This window comes from Homo sapiens, chromosome 10 (genome assembly GCF_000001405.40).
Source record: "Homo sapiens chromosome 10, GRCh38.p14 Primary Assembly".
NCBI lineage: Eukaryota > Metazoa > Chordata > Mammalia > Primates > Hominidae > Homo > Homo sapiens.
In genome coordinates, this window is record NC_000010.11 from 91,810,332 (window position 1) to 91,827,270 (window position 16,939).

Below are 16,939 nucleotides of genomic sequence, written 5' to 3' on the forward strand. Positions count from 1 at the left end.
CACGCCATTGCACTCCAGCCTGGGTGACAGAGTGAGACTCTGTCTCAAAAAACAAAACAACAACAACAAAAAAAACCCTGCTATCTGAAAACAGTTTGAAAAACACTAATTTATGGGACAAAGGCCAGGTGCTGCCTTAGCCTAACATACTCCTTTCATTGTTGTTGTTTTGTTTTGTTTTGTTTTTTTGAGACGGAGTCTCACTCTGTCTCCCAGGCTGGAGTGCAGTGGCCCGGTCTTGGCTCAGTGCAAGCTCTGCCTCCCAGGTTCATGCCATTCTCCTGCCTCAACCACCCAAGTAGCTGGGACTACAGGCACCTGCCACAACGCCCAGCTAATTTTTTTTTTTTGTATTTTTAGTAGAGACAGGGTTTCACCATGTCAGCCAGGATGGTCTCAATCTCCTGACCTCGTGATCCACCCGCCTCGGCCTCCCAAAGTGCTGGGATTACAGGCATGAGCCACCGCACCCAGCCAGCCTGACATACTCCTGATCTAGCATCTGCCCACTTTGGCATTCTGTGTCCTGGCTGTTATGGAGCATTTGTTTATTCTTTTCTTTTTTCTTTTCTTTCTCTCTTTTCTTTTCTTTTTTTTTTTTTTTTTTTTTTTGAGATGGAGTCTCACTCTGTCACCCCCAGGCTGGAGTGCAGTGACGTGATCTCGGCTCACTGCAACCTATACCTGCCGGGTTCAAGCAATTCTGTCTCAGCTTCCCATGTAGCTGGGATTACAGGCACGCGCCACCACGCCCAGCTAATTTTTTGTATTTTTAGTAGAGACTGGGTTTCACCATGCTGGCCAGGCTGGTCTCGAACTCCTGACCTCGTGATCTGCCCACCTGGGCCTCCCAAAGTGCTGGGATTACTGGCGTGAGCCACTGCGCCCAGCCCAAGCATTTATTCTTTCATACCTCCATGTCTGTGTACGTTTTGTTTCTTCTGCTTGGACTGCAGGACCCTTCCTTGCTCATCTCCTTTCCCTCACCTCTCCCTCCTCATTTTCCTAATCATCCCTTATTTTTCTGTATGCTTTCAGCTCAGGTGTCATCACTGGAATTGCCTTAGGTAAGTCTTTTCCGTTCTCTGCTTTCCCCTAGTTTAGGAGTTCCCTTCTTTGAGCTCTAGTAGCACTTTATATATACATAGCAATTATATTGTATTGAAATTTAAAATCTTCATATCTTAAATTATGAGCTCTTTGAGAGGAGGAAGAATCAAAGATACAAAGATACTCATCTTTGTGACCACAGAGCCCAGCAATGTTAAAACAAAACAAAAACAGTTAATCTTTTCAACTATCTTTAGCTCTTCCATCAGCTGCAACCAGGCCAACCCCAGGCATCGACCTTAGAAAGACTGTACCATTACTTTCTTATCTGTTCTCATTGCTGGTCATCTTGGAAGAACTACAGTCAGACTTGGTGGCTTTAAGAATAGAATGGAGGGCTGGGCGCAGTGGCTCACGCCTGTAATCCCAGCACTTTGGGAGACCAAGGCGGGTGGATCATGAGGTCAGGAGATCGAGACCATCCTGGCTAACATGGTGAAATCCCATCTCTACTAAAAAATACAAAAAATTAGCCAAGCATGGTGGCGGGTGCCTGTAGTCCCAGCTACTCTGGAGGCTGAGGCAGGAGAATGGCATGAACCCGGGAGGCGGAGCTTGCAGTGAGCCGAGATCGTGCCACGCACTCCAGCCTGGGCGACAGAGCGACACTCCGTCTCAAAAAAAAAAAAAAAAAGAATAGAACGGAGAAAATTTCAGAAGAGTGAGCAGTTCCTTTCTCTCTACCCAAACACATTGTAGACCACTCCATCTGCTTTAACATATGCCTGAAAGCCTTATCATTTCAAAGCTAGGTGTAAAAAGGTTTTAAGTACTAATATATGGGAATGATAAGAGATTGAAACTCATTGGTGCTAGATCTGTAAACCAGTATAAATAAATTACCAGACTTTTTTTGTTTTATTTGATTTGGGGGCAGTTGAGCAGAACTGTGGAATGTTGGTACCTAAAGGAGGCCTCCTACATGGAAAGAAGTTATATATGCGTTTTGCAAGTGGCAAAGTAGGGACTCCTTTGAAGACACTGGATTTCATACTTTTGCCTGGGGTTATCTCTCTGTGTCTCACTACATAGACAAATATTAGCTGTGAGCAGATCTTTTTTTGTTGCTTCTTGTAGTCCCCCAGTTTAGCAGAAACATTCTGTGAGATAGATGTGGGAAAGGAATTCTAGCAAGAGTTTTGTCACTGTATCATAAGGTTGTGATTTACATATTTAAGTTTTATACTTTGAACATCTGAAAATGTATACATACTAAATACGCAGAACTCTATTGTAGAGTGAGAAACATTTGAACTTTGAGCTTTCAGTCACTTATTTTGTATTCTTTCTTTGAGGTTAGCAGTAGTAGTACCACCCAAGGCACTGCTTAGGTACCACTGCTGCTTAGTGGAGAGTCCCTCTGGCTTTATCATTAAGGTTAGTTATTGATATATTTCTGATCACCTTTCCATTAATTAGTTCTTGAATTGTTGAGTCTGTTATTAATTTTCAACCTGAAACATTTTAGTATGGATGGTACTTATCTAATTTGATATCTTTTCCTTGTTGAACTTACGTGTGGACAATTTGTTTTCATCTAGGTTTTGGGCGGAAAGACGTAGTTGAATATTTGCTTCAGAATGGTGCAAATGTCCAAGCACGTGATGATGGGGGCCTTATTCCTCTTCATAATGCATGCTCTTTTGGTCATGCTGAAGTAGTCAATCTCCTTTTGCGACATGGTGCAGACCCCAATGCTCGAGATAATTGGAATTATACTCCTCTCCATGAAGCTGCAATTAAAGGAAAGATTGATGTTTGCATTGGTAAGACTGTTTACTTTTCCGACTTTTACTAATGTTGTAACTATTCTGAATCTGAACTGAATTAATCTGTTCATATCATCAAATTATGTCAAGCTGAATTTAAATATTTAAGAACATCCCATGATTTAATCTAACTACTATTTACTGAGTGTCTTTTTGTGTGTAGTACTGAGCCTAAATTTCTTTGGAGAATGGACTACAAAGTGCCTATTATACTTGCATTCTCTTGGGAGAGAAAATATACAAAGAGCCAGATAAAGGCATGGTGGAAGGGAACAGAGAGTGTTAAGAGGATAATGAGCACAGTGACTTGGCAGGATCAAGTCAAGGCCCTACTTCCTGGAGTCTTTCCGTGAGAAAGGGAAAGTCTTTCCAGTGGGGAAAGGGTTAAAAAGGTAGGTGGGGATTTCTCTATAAAAAGCTTTAAATACCAGGTTAAGGAGCTTAATATTAGTACGTGCAGGCAGTGTAGAATATTTAATATTTTTTGAGGAAGGGAACACTGTGATAAGAGTACATAGTATGCAGTCATGCTCCACGTAACTCCATTTCAAAATGGATGACATACATAAGGGTGGTCCATAAGATGATAATGGAGCTGAAAAATTCCTGTCACCTACTGACTTTGTAGCAGTCCTAACTTCATAGCACGAGGCATTACTCAGGTGTTTATGGTGATGCTGGGTTAACCTAGTGTACTGCCAGTCATATAAACGTATAGCATATAAAATTATGTACACTACATGATACTTGATAATAACCAACTTTGTTACTGGTTTATATATTTACTATACTTTTTATTGTGATTTTAGAGTATACTCAGCAATTAAAAAAAAAAGTTAACTGTAAAACAGCCTCAGGCAGGTTCTTTAGGACGTGTTCCAGAAGAAGACATTATTATAGGAGATGACAGCTCCCTGTATGTTATTGCCCCTAAAGACCTTCCAGTGGGAGAAGATATGGAGGTGGAAGACAGTGATATTGATGATCTTGAGCCTATGTAGGCCTAGCTAATATGTGTGTCTATATCTTAGTTTTTAACAGAAAAGTTGTAAAAAAAAATTTTTTTGAATAGAGAAAAGCTTATAGAATAAAGACATAAAATATTTTTGTATAGCTGTACATAGTGTTTGTGTTTTAAGCTGTTATTACAAAAGTCAAAAAGCCTTTAAAAATTTAAAAATTTCTAATGTGAAAAGGTTACAGTAAGCTAAAGTTAATTATTGAAGAAAGAAAAATATTTTAAAAATAAACTTACATAGCTAAGTGTGCAGTGTTTATGTAGAGTCTACAGTAATGTATTATAATATACTAGGCCTTCACATTCACTCATCACTCACTCACTGACTCACTCAGGGAAACTTCCAATCCTGCAAGCTCCATTCATGGTAAATGTCCTATACAGATATACCATTTCTTATCTTTTATACTATATTTAGACATACTTAGTTACAGATGTACTTACCATTGTATTACAGTTGCCTGCAGTATTCGGTACAGTAACATGCTGTTCAGGTTTGTAGCCTAGGAGGAGTAGGCTATACCATGTAGCCTAGGTGTTTGGTAGACTGTACCAGCTAGGTTTGTGTAAGCATACTCTGGTGTTGGCACAATGACGGACTCACCTACCAATGCATTTCTCAGAGTATATCCCTGTCATTAAGTGACACATGACTGTATTTTATGAAGAGTAATCTGGTAGGGGACTGGGTAGGATGGATGGCATCAAGGATACCAGTTAGGAAACTGTAAAGTAACCCAGGTGAGAAATGATGCTACTGAATTATAGGGTTATAGGAGAGAAATGGCAGGATAAGTAAGAAAAATATACAGTATGTGAGAAGGCTTTTTGAGAATTTGTATTAACCTGGTATTTACTTTTGTGAGACAGATTCAAGGATTTTGGACTCATTGCCACCTTAACTCCATTATTTCCTGATGTAAAACAGGGACAGTTGAAATCCTTAACAGATAGAAAGCCAGTTCAGTGCACTAGAGAAAGTCCAGGTGTTCTATGCTAGACTTAAGTTGGACCTCATGGTCCCCAGCATCCCAAATCACTATTTATGTCAACTTCACCAGCTTAGTTGAAATGAGGTCATTTATAAAGATGTGAAATGGATTTCCTAGTTACCTCTGCCCAATTCTCCTTTTCTGTATGTTGTCTTAAATTGTTCCTGCCCTACATTCAAATACATCATTTTTACCACATAACCCAACTCTGGTACCTCAGAATCTTAGACATATAATTAATTAGTTTTAATAATGTAGAGTTTTCCAGTTATAATCTGCACTATCCAATATGGTAGCTAAGGGCTTGCAATGTCTGAATTGAGAGGTACTCTAAGGGGAAAAAGCATGCCACATTTCAGAGACTTAGTACAAAAAAAAATGTAAAATATCTAATTTTATATTGATTATAATATAAATGTAAATATTGAATTTTTGGATGTATTAGGTGAAATCTGTTCAAATTAATTTGAACTGTTTCTTTTTTTCATGTAGTTACTAGAAAATGTTAAATTATTTATGTGGCTCACATTTTATTTCTGTTGAACAGCACTGGTATATATAGGAGTAGAGCAGAATGGAAATTCACCCTATCAAAGAACAGGAGCTGAGCTTCCTTTCTGCACATATTTGCCTGTCTTCCTCCAGCTCCTTATTTAGAGAGTATACTGGAATAGCTTCATAATAATACAAATAATAATACAGCACAGAGCAAAACACAAGACTTTCTCTTTTTTTTTTTTTTTTTTGAGACGGAGTCTTGCACTGTCGCCTAGGCTGGAGTGCAGTGGCGTGATCTCCGCTCACTGCAAGCTCCGCCTCCCGGGTTCACGCCATTCTACTGCCTCAGCCTCTCGAGTAGCTAGGACTACAGGCGCCCGCCACCATGCCCAGCTAGTTTTTTGTATTTTTAGTAGAGAGGGGGTTTCACCATGTTAGCCAGGATGGTCTCGATCTCCTGACCTCATGATCTGCCCGCCTCGGCCTCCCAAAGTGCTGAGATTACAGGCGTGAGCCACCACACCCAGCCAAGACTTCCCTTTTTATGTGCCTTGAATTATAATGTAGTAGTTTTGATTTGGGGTAGGTTGGCCCTACTAAGGGTATTTGGATTTTAACTTAAAATTCCGTGTAATTAACCTGAAAAACCTAACTACTCAGCTAGCAACCCTTATTTATATATCCCTCAGTTAAGATTTTTCCAAAGAAAAATTGTCCTTGTAAGGAGTAATTTGCACCTCGGTTTCAATGTACCTACTCCACTCCTTAGACTCTTTACCTTGCACCTTACAAGTGCATTGTATTATGGTATCAATAGTGGACAAATACAAGCAGGCTCCTGTTAATTATTCAGCTTTCCTGAAGAATAGAAAGATAATGACTGATGACCTTACAGAATTTATTGAAAGCATAAGGAAGCTATTCAGTTTTTTGTGTTTTTTAAAAAAGAATTTACCTGTGTGATTTTCTTTTTTTTTTTTCTTAAAAATCCTACATATCTCTGTTCCCAGGCTATCTATAGCTTTAGACATTTTATTTCTGTCATGATGAACAGTCTTTCTAGCATAAGCAGTGTTCTTTTGGAATGAGAAAACAAGCTTTTAAGCACACTTGCCTTTTCCCTTACACACTCTTATCTATCCTTAGTCACTTGTCACCAGCTATATAAATAGCAAAGGAAAATCTGCATTGAACTGAGGGGGAACTTATTTAATGTGTCTTTAATGCATTAAGTAATAGAATACTTTATGTATTATTTTTATATTTAAAATGTAACATTCCCATTCTGACAAGATATGAAAGGTCTTTAAACAACTTTGAGACTTTGCTGGACCAGACTTCTTGAGAAAATGATTTACTAAAATCAAGTTGTTAAGATTACCATTGAACTTCAAAATAGTGTTGCTATTTTGCAGTGCTGTTACAGCATGGAGCTGAGCCAACCATCCGAAATACAGATGGAAGGACAGCATTGGATTTAGCAGATCCATCTGCCAAAGCAGTGCTTACTGGTAAGTCTGTATACTCTGGTTATTCCAGGAAGCCTGTAAAGAACAACCTTGCCAGGTAGGAAATTTGCCTCCTATGATTAATGACTTCAGCTAGATTTTTAAAATAGTGTCAGTTCAGTAGCTATCCTTTTCTACGTCTAGATAGCTGACATTTTATTCTCCTCTAAGAAAAATAAAGCTTTCTTTTTATTTTCTAATTGCTGTTTAAGTATGTCATTGTTGCCTTATTGGGGGTGAGGGTGATAGATAATTGTATGTTGCTTTAGTATATTCAGGACATTTTTTAAATACCCCTGAGTTTTTCAGATAACTTATGCCTGCCCTTTACATGCAGGTTGAGTATTTCTAACCCAAACTTCAAAACACTTCTGGTCTTAAGCATTTCAGATAAGGGATATTCAAGCTGTACTATTTTTTTTAATGTATTTTAATTTTGATGGAATGCTTTCAAAAAACACTGGCCATTCCGTTAACTTTTCAGAAGAGGATTCTAGGCACACTCATTTCAGTACCATGCTAGTTGTACTCTGCTGTAACATATTTATGTCCTTGGAACCTATTGCTATGCATAAGGCTATAGTTTAGATTGACAAGCTTTCCTGAGTTGTATCCACTTCACATATTATCTCCCTTGTTAATGTGCTTTCCTCTTAGCAACTCAGCCATGTTGTTTACCAGATTCTTACCTACCTTGTGATGACTAGAATCATACCTAATCTAAAGTCAAGAGCCAAAGGGGCTTTGCTGTGAGCTTTGTGCCTGGATTTTGTGATATTTCTTCTACCATTGCTGAGAAAATTTAGACTTCTTCATGAGAAGACTTCTTCATGAAAAGACTTCTAGAAGTGTGCACTGTTATTGTGACTATCAATCAGTGTTCATTTTCTCCTTCACTAGTCCATGTTATTCCATGCTTTTATTTTTGTTTTTTAAATCTTGGGCCTCAAAAGAAGCATTGCCTTGGCAGTCAGTATGCAGTTCACATTGTGGGTTTGGATGTCATTCAGCAAATCATATTAATTTAAATTTTGTTGGTTTTATAGTTTTGTTTGTATTCATTTGTAAAAGTAAAGCCTTTAATAAAGAAAAGAAATAAAAGAGTTCATAGTTAATCCTTTTTTATATTTGTATATATTTAAAGTAGCATTAAATAAACATGATATTAGTGTCAAAAAATCTAGGTTCATAAAGATGTTAATGATTATGTTTAATCAGTGATGCTATAGATTCTTTTGTCATTTCTATAATGTTGGTATATTGAGTTTTGTTTGTTTTGTTTAGGAGTTTGCTTTTGGGGTGTGTATGTGTGTGCATGTGTGTGTATCAAGGCCTCACTCTGTCGCCCAGGCTGGAGTGCAGTGGCACAGTCACAGCTTACTGCAGCCTCAACCTATCCAGGCTCAGGTGATCCTCCAACCTCAGTCTCCTAAGTAGCTGGGATTGCAGGCGTGCCTCACCACACCCAGCCAATTTTTGTATTTTTTGTAGAGAGAGGGTTTCACCATGTTCCCCAGGCTAGTCTCTAACTCTTGGGCTCAAGCGATCCACCCACCTCAGCCTCCCAAAGTGCTGGGATTACAGACATGAGCCAATACACCCGGACATTTTTAGGTTTGGAACAAAGTTGTAGATACATTTTGTTTCTCTGTTATAAAAATAACATACTCATTTTAGGAAATTTGAAGGGAAAAAGGGAAAGGTCACCAATAACCTATGACCCAAGATAAACTTTGTTAATATTTTGGTATATTTTCTTTTGGGCTTTCCTTTTCCTGAGCATATTGATTTTATATAGTTGAGGTTGCCTTTCATTATATAAAATAGAATCTTTTTTTTTAATCCCATAGCAAAGGTATTTCATGTTTGCTCTTCATGCAAATATTTTTAAACTACACAATATTCTGTTAATGAACTATTTTCCATTTATTGGAAATTTGTTTCCAAATTTATCTACTTTATAATTCATTGGGCATCTTTTTGCATAAAACTCATTAATTTTTCTTTTTAATTTCTATACTTTTTTTTTTTTCTAATTCACAGGTGAATATAAGAAAGATGAACTCTTAGAAAGTGCCAGGTACGTACTAATGTTATAAATATGTGACAGGAATACTTCACCATTAACTTTTTCTTTTTTTTTTTTTTTACAGTAAGCAAACTTTAAAAAGAATTTTTTTTTAATGGTTACAGTACTTATCTTGAGGAACATCTGATGAAGAATGCAAATTACTAATACTTTTTTTGTATTCTAGGAGTGGCAATGAAGAAAAAATGATGGCTCTACTCACACCATTAAATGTCAACTGCCACGCAAGTGATGGCAGAAAGGTACTTCCTTTTGCAACTGAGTTTGTGCTTATCTCCTGGTAACATGAAGATAAAGATGTGTTTATCTTATGATAAATTGAAACATATTTGAAGAGAGTGCTGATGTTTTAAGTGTTTCAGTATTTTCAGTATTTCAAATTCTTAAGCCTAGTAAAACTTTATTGATGATAAACAGTTATTTGCTTCCTATATGCAATAGTGAATTTATAAACTTGTATACTATGCCTTCAATATGTATGTTGGATTTTGTAAAACCAAATTGATAACTACTTAGCGAAGTTATAATTGGATTTTCTGGTTTTATATTTGGGTTTTTTCCCTCTCACACATTTTATTCAACCATTATTTGAATTTCATTAATATATTTGATTAATATTTCAGTCAACTCCATTACATTTGGCAGCAGGATATAACAGAGTAAAGATTGTACAGCTGTTACTGCAACATGGAGCTGATGTCCATGCTAAAGATAAAGGGTAAGCATTTGAACAAAAACAAGGACTTTTTAAATGTTACCCTCTTCTTAAAACAATCTTTGTAACCTTAGAAAAATAATATTTTTTACTAAATAACATTAATATATATTGAGCTTTTACAATGTACAGGTTGCTCTGAGGGCGCAGGAAATTATAAAACCTTAAGCCCACAGCTCATAGAAGGTTTACATTACACTTCAGAGGGCATGAAAAGATACCTAAGAATACAATGAGGTCTCTACCAAGTGTTGAGTCATAGAGAGGGATAGCACTGCAGGAGTTCCCAGGAAGGAACTCTCAGTGATGGTTGACTGGAGTGGTTGGGAAATCCCTCAGAATGAGGTGTGACTTGACCTGGACTGTAAAGTCAAGTCTCAATTCAAGAAAGCAGAGTTTGCGGGACATTAGTCTGTAAGACAATTGGGATAAGTGGGGGCTGCTACAGCAAACGTTAAAGCACATTTAAAAAACAGTGACTAGACTAGCTTTGCTGGAGCAGATGATTCACACAGGAGACAAATGAAGTTTAGGATTAGAGAAATAGGTAAGAACCAGGTTTTGGAGGACTGGGTATTTAGCCTAAGTAATTCAAAGTTCACCCTGTGATCTGAAACAAAGGGGATGATTATTCTAAAAGAAGTTTTAGGAGGTGCGTTTGAAAGCAATGTGTTGGCTAAATTGGAGAGAGAGGAGACTAGAAGCAAAAGCAGCAATTAGGAAAGTGAGCATTCTAGAGGTTTAAGCATAATCAGGATCCATAATAATGGTGGCAGAAGAAATGAAAATGAAGGCATAGATGCAAGAGATATTGCAGTGTAAGAATGGGTAAGATTTGTTGAATGGATACAATGAGCGAGGAATAAAAGGAAAACTACATTTCAAGTTCTGAATGAGTTAGATCCAGTGATACACATACGAAATACAGGAGGCAAAATTGTTTGGAGGGAAAATGTTGAATTGACTTCTAGAACTCTTAGTTTTTTTATTTGTTTGTTGTATTTTTTATTTTATTTTATTTTTTTTAGACGGAGTCTTGCTCTGTCGCCCAGGCTGGAGTGCAGTGGCGCGATCGTGGTTCACTGCAACCTCCACCTCCCGGGTTCAAGTGATTCTCCTGCCTCAGGCTTCTGAGTAGCTGGGATTACAGGTGCACACCACCACGCCTGGCTAATTTTCATATTTTTAGTAGAGACAAGGTTTTGCCGTGTTGGCCAGGCTCAAACTCCTGACCTCAGGTGATCACCTGGCTCGGCCTCCCAAAGTGCTCAGATTACAGGCATGAGCCACCACGCCTGGCCTAGAACTCTCAGTTTAATGGGGTGATACAGGAACATAGTGGTAGCATCTAGTAGGTAGTTAGGAACAAAATTGGTGCTCAGGCAAGTGAAGAATCATATATTCAAAAATAGTAAGGAAAGCCATGAACCTTTAAAGAGAGGACTCATAGAACTAAAGACTAAATCACAGGTGACCATCCCTTACCAGAGTTTGGCATGATGGTGGCTATGGCAGCATATTAGTGAGTGATCCCAAACGAGAAGGAAAAGCTTCAAGATAGAAGTCAAGATTTTAAAGTTTCACCGTATCTTCCCATAGAGAAAGTTCTTCCTCCATTCCCATCATGGAAGAATTGGGTTTCAGCTTATTAAGGATCTCAAAAAAGTTTTAAAAATGAGCCAGTATTTGAGCTAAGTCTGGAAAAGACATGTAGAAATGAGCCAGAACAAAGGAGGGAGGGAAATCTATACCCAGGGAACAGTATGTGTAGAGGCATACAGGGAATTATAAGTTTAATATACCATTATTGAAGGGTAAGCCTAGAGAGGGAGCCAGATAATTGCGTGTGCCACGTTAATAAGTTGGAACCATCTCTTGAAAGCACAGAGTTAATGGTGAAACTTACCTTTTAGAAAAATCTGCCTTTTAGACTTACCTTTTAGAAAAATCTGCCTCAGCTTGGAGCATAAAGTGGGGTGGGAGCTATTTCAATAATGCAGGGGAGAAATAACATAGACCCAAACTAAGGCAGTGGCAGTAGCAGTGAAGTATAAAGGAACATGGATTTGAAAGAGACTTGGGAGTTCAAATTCTTAGGACTTAGGGTTCAAATGGATGTTACTAAATTTTGAACATTTTTATTAGAACATCACATAATCCATTTGCTATTTAAGTATAAGTAATTAAATAAATTTTAATTTATAAATTTCCCTAGGCCTAAGAAATCTATACTGAAACAGGATTTTCCCCCCCTTCTCATTGTAGTGATCTGGTACCATTACACAATGCCTGTTCTTATGGTCATTATGAAGTAACTGAACTTTTGGTCAAGGTTAGTGCTCTTGTACTCTCCTAATTACTTTCTAGAGTTATATAAAATAACTTGAAATACATTAGTATGTCTGGGTTTCTTTTTATTTTCTGTGTTCTTAGTGCTTAAAAAAGTAGAAGTATTTATAAGCATTATAAAATATAGGTGACTGATAGCTCAGCATTTGACTGCTTTGAGATTTTTGAGATACCATATGTTTTGTTTTGTTTTGTTTTGTTTTTTTGAGACAAGGTCTCACTCTTGCCCAGGCCGGAGTGCAGTGGTGCAATCTTGGCTCACTGCACCCTCCACCTCCAGGGTTCAAAGGATTCTCCTGCCACAGCCTCCTGAGTAGATGGGATTTCAGACAGGCGCCATCACGCCCAGCTAAGTTTTGTTAGAGATGGAGTTTCACCATGTTGGCCAGGCTGGTCTTGAACTCCTGACCTCAAGTGATCCACCTGCCTCGGCCTCCCAAAGTGCTGGGATTACAGCCATGAGCCACCATGCCCAGCCTGGATACCATATGTTTTTAAATATAAAGTAGCACTGTCATCTTGCTACACATCATCTTGTGACGCATCATCTGAAATCCCATCTACTCAGGAGGCTGTGGCAGGAGAATCGTTTGAACCCTGGAGATGGAGGTTACAGTGAGCCAAGATTGCACCACTGCACTCCAGCGCAGGCAAGAGTGAGACCTTGTCTCAAAAAAAAAAAAAATAATGTAGAATAGCAGATAAAGTGATTCCATAATTTATAGCTAAAGGTGAAGTTTCAAAACTCTAAGAAGCAGTTTTTAGTGAATCATATTTTGTTAAAACCACCAGATATAATAGCAAGATTTGCCAGTTGTACTTCGAGTTGGAGCTGGCCGATTTGGTAAGGTTCACTTCTTCCAGTATGCTCAACAGCTGTTTAACAAACAGGTTCCCAAGACTAGCAAGAAACTTTTTTTGTTGTTTTTTTGGTTTTTTGGTTTTTTTTTTTTTTTTTTTTTTTTTGAGACGGAGTCTCGCTCTGTCGCCCAGGCTGGAGTGCAGTGGCGCAATCTCGGCTCACTGCAAGCTCCGCCTCCTGGGTTCAAGCGATTCTCCTGCCTCAGCCTCCCAAGTACCTGGGATTACAGGTATGTGCCACCATGCCCAGCTAATTTTCTATTTTTAGTAGATACAGAGTTTCACCATGTTGGCCAGGCTGGTCTTGAACTCCAGACCTCAAGTGATCTGCCTGCCTCAGCCTCCCAAAGTGCTGAGATTAACAGACGTGAGCCACCACACCCAGTCCAAAACTTCCCATTTTGATCCCTTTTAGATGAGAGTAGAAGATATATATTATCTTTGGAAGTGGATCCCAGGATGTTACCTATACCTTTTAACTTCTGTTACCCTGCACCCATTCTACTCCTTCAGCACTTTTCCCCACTTTCAGCAGCTGTTACGGGAAGAGAAAGAGGACACTTGTTTCCAGTGCCTCTTTGGTTCCTTTCGGGCCTGAGTCTTATGAAATACGTTTTCCCATAGAAACAACTTTATAATAATAATTAGATACTCTGAGTAGCATATTAAACTTATAATGTGGCTGTAATGTTATACATTTGTAACAGTAATGCTTTTGCTTCTTGTAAAACTGAATCTTGACTCCAGCAGAACATTTGAAAGTTGCTATGGATAAGAATGAAACATCAAACAGATTGCACTTGGACTTAAAGACAACTGAGTGGTACTTTCCTAAGACCTAGTATTTTACTAAATAAGAATGAAAGGCTGACTAGAGGTCATACCTACAGAGGGAGTTAGCTAATGTGAGGGTGTAAGTAGTTACCAGGATAGTAAAGTTAAGCAAAGTCAGGAGAAAGCAAGTAGATAGGGATTGAGAATGCAGATTCTGAGCAGTGCTGAGTCAATTGGCAACACTTGCCTAAATAGTTTGGCTACCAGAAGCTGGCATTTAACAGCAAACACCCAGTGACTGCTTTCCATGACCAGGGCATTTGCTAGCCATGGAAGGCACTAAGACACGATCCCTGGACAAAGCATTCAAATAATGAAGGTCTGGCTCTAACAGGCACAAGAATAACAGGGAATTCTCTTAACATTCTTCCTCATAATCTCTGAATACTAGGAAGCAAGTAGACAGATCTGGCTAGAATGGAGGGAAAAATTATGTCAGATAGATTCATAATTAATTGAACCACTGTGCAGAGTGTTGACTGATATTTCTTTGCTTGGAAGGGACTGTTGGAACCTCCAGTAGGGCCTGAAGTTTCTATCTTTATCTTTATTGTGGTGCACACTTCTATGGTTGACTTGATAAAAAATTAGAAGGAATGCTTATCCAGTTTGCAGATTAACATGAAGCTGGGAAGGATAACTAATATTCAAGTTGATAGAATCAAGGCTCAAAACCATCTCACCAGGCTCTAAGCTCTGGGTGAAGCCAGTAAGATTAATGGGGCTCAGCAAGGACACTTAAGTTCACGAAATAAGTCGCACAAGAAAAAGATGGGAGAGGAGAAAATACTTTGGTGTTTACTTCTTGTTTAAACAATAATACAGAGTTTTTAAATGACCCATTAACTCAATTTTAAGTATAAATTATAATGTGACAACTTAAGCTGTCATAATTTTGGGCCAATAGTAGAATAGTATTGCAAGCAATATAATCATGGATGCACTGTACTCTGCACACCCAAACCACACTGGAATCTGTGATTTTAGGCTCTCGGTTTGGTTTGGTTTGGTTTGGTTTTTTTTGTTTTGTTTTGTTTTGGTCGAGGGGAGAGGGTCTCACTCTGCCACCCAGGTTGGAGTGCAGTGGCACAATCATGGCTCATTGCAGCCGCAACCTTCCCGGGCTCAGGTGATCCTCCCACCTCAGCCTCCCAAGTAGCTAAAATTACAGGTGTGGTGCCACCACACATGTTAATCTTTTTATTTTTTGTAGAGATAGGGTTTCACCATGTTGCCCAGTTTGGTCTTGAACTCCTAAGCTCAAGCGATCCACCCACCTCAGCCTCCCAAAGTGCTGGAATTATAGGCATAAGCCACTGCCTCTGGCCTCAATTATTTTTTAATGAATTTTTTAAACTAAAGTATATTTAGTTGAGGGCCACCATGATAATAAGTGGAAACCATCTGATATGAAAGATGAGTGCCCTTTATGATGTCTTTTGCTCCAAAGGCAAATAGATGAAAGTTAAAAGTGCATATTTTAACTTAATATAGAAGAAAGCTTTGTAACAACAGAAGTTCTCTAGTAATTATAAAAAGCCATGTTACTGCAAATTAGCTCCCCATTGTCAAAAATACTGAAAGAGTAAGAAGCTGGTTCACCTTAGTTGAATGCTGTAGAAGGAAATTTGTGTTTGATTGGTTAAACTAGTTTGACTTCAGTGGTCCATACTTAGCCAACTCCAGTACTTGGAAATGGCTAAAATTAAAAAGCCTAACAATACAAAGTGTTAGCAAGGATATGTAGCAACTGGAACTCAAACGTTGCCACGTAGCAGTGGAACTCAAATGTTGCTGGTGGCTGGCTGCATAAAGTGCGATAGCCACATTAGAAGACTCTTTGACATTTTCTAATAAAGTTAAACATATATCTACCATGACAGCATATGTGCATAAAGAAATGTTTATGATAGCTGATTTGTAACACAGGTTGAGTATCCATTATCTGAAATGCTTGGGACCAGAAGTGTTTTAGATTTCAGATATTTTTTGGATTTGAGAATATTTGCATATATACTACATAATGAGAAATCTTGAGGATGGAACCCAAGTCTGCACATGAAATTCACTTACGTTTCATATACACCTTATACACATAGCCTGAAGATAATTTTATATAACATTTTTAATAATTTTGTGCACGAATTAAGTTTGTGTGCATAAGGTTAGGTGTGGAATTTTCCACTTGTGTCGTCATGTCGGTATTCAAAAGTTTTGGATTTTGGAGTATTTTGCATTTCAGGTTTTCAGATGAGAGATACTCAACCAGCCAACTAGAAACAGTCCAAATCTGCATTAACAGGATGATAAATAAGCAAATTATGATATATGTATACTGTGAAATACTCCTCAACAATGAAAATGAACTACTTGTGCAACAACATGAATGAATCTCAGCAACATTATATGTATGAAAGAATCTAGACGAAGTACATACGTTAGAAATTTATATTCTTCTATTTTTATGAAATTGAAGAACAGATATATCTAATATGTGGCCAGAATCGGGGCAGGAATTGTCTATAAAAGGAGCATGAGGAAACATTCTGGGGTAATGAAAGTGTCTTGTATCTTGATTTGGGTGATGGTATCACAGATATATACATTTGTCAGAATTCATCAAAGTTGTATGTTTCACTGTATGTCAGCTATACCGCAAGAGGAGCATTCATTCTTGGAAGAGATGCAGGTTAAATCTAAAGCTTCGTTCTTAACTGTTCTTAAAAGTAGAAAAGTTAAGTAGACCCTTGTTGGTAGGGCTAGCAATCAGCTACTGTTTTTTCCATTGGGAAAAATGTATACTCATTCTGAAATAATTGGCTCAAAAAGTGAACTTTGGGAACATAACCTGTTTTAGCCTGTATGATGTTAAATTACACAGTACGAATAATTCTGAATTCTTTTAAAAATTGAACATTAAATATATGCTTTTTGCTCTCCAGCATGGTGCCTGTGTAAATGCAATGGACTTGTGGCAATTCACTCCTCTTCATGAGGCAGCTTCTAAGAACAGGGTTGAAGTATGTTCTCTTCTCTTAAGTTATGGTGCAGACCCAACACTGCTCAATTGTCACAATAAAAGTGCTATAGACTTGGCTCCCACACCACAGTTAAAAGAAAGATTAGCATGTGAGTATAAAATTATGAATGTTCAGGTAGGATATTATATCAATAAACTGAACATTTTTTCTTTCCT

General features: G+C 38.1%; 1 protein-coding gene across 5 annotated transcripts in view, besides 1 other annotated feature; it reads left to right on the forward strand.

The window, feature by feature from the left end:
* The window catches only part of TNKS2 (tankyrase 2), a 67,050-nt gene that overhangs the window by 11,906 nt on the left and 38,205 nt on the right, over positions 1-16,939 (forward strand). For 4 of the 5 annotated variants that reach the window (XM_011540213.2, NM_025235.4, XM_017016701.2 and 1 more), the window contains exons 2-8: positions 2,652-2,876; positions 6,803-6,898; positions 8,939-8,975; positions 9,151-9,226; positions 9,608-9,702; positions 11,965-12,031; positions 16,686-16,872. In XM_011540213.2, the coding sequence (XP_011538515.1) occupies positions 2,652-2,876; positions 6,803-6,898; positions 8,939-8,975; positions 9,151-9,226; positions 9,608-9,702; positions 11,965-12,031; positions 16,686-16,872 (783 nt within the window). Of the gene's footprint in view, positions 1-2,651; positions 2,877-6,786; positions 6,899-8,938; positions 8,976-9,150; positions 9,227-9,607; positions 9,703-11,964; positions 12,032-16,685; positions 16,873-16,939 lie in introns of those variants that run through there. The other variant, XM_017016699.2, reaches the window with a different exon arrangement.
* Positions 9,995-10,496: an enhancer, noted in NCBI's record as "NANOG hESC enhancer chr10:93580083-93580584 (GRCh37/hg19 assembly coordinates)". NCBI's record gives its function as "activates a minimal SCP1, AML or CMV promoter by ChIP-STARR-seq in naive H9 embryonic stem cells {active_cell/tissue: H9 hESC(naive)}" and the evidence as "EXISTENCE:reporter gene assay evidence [ECO:0000049][PMID:30033119]".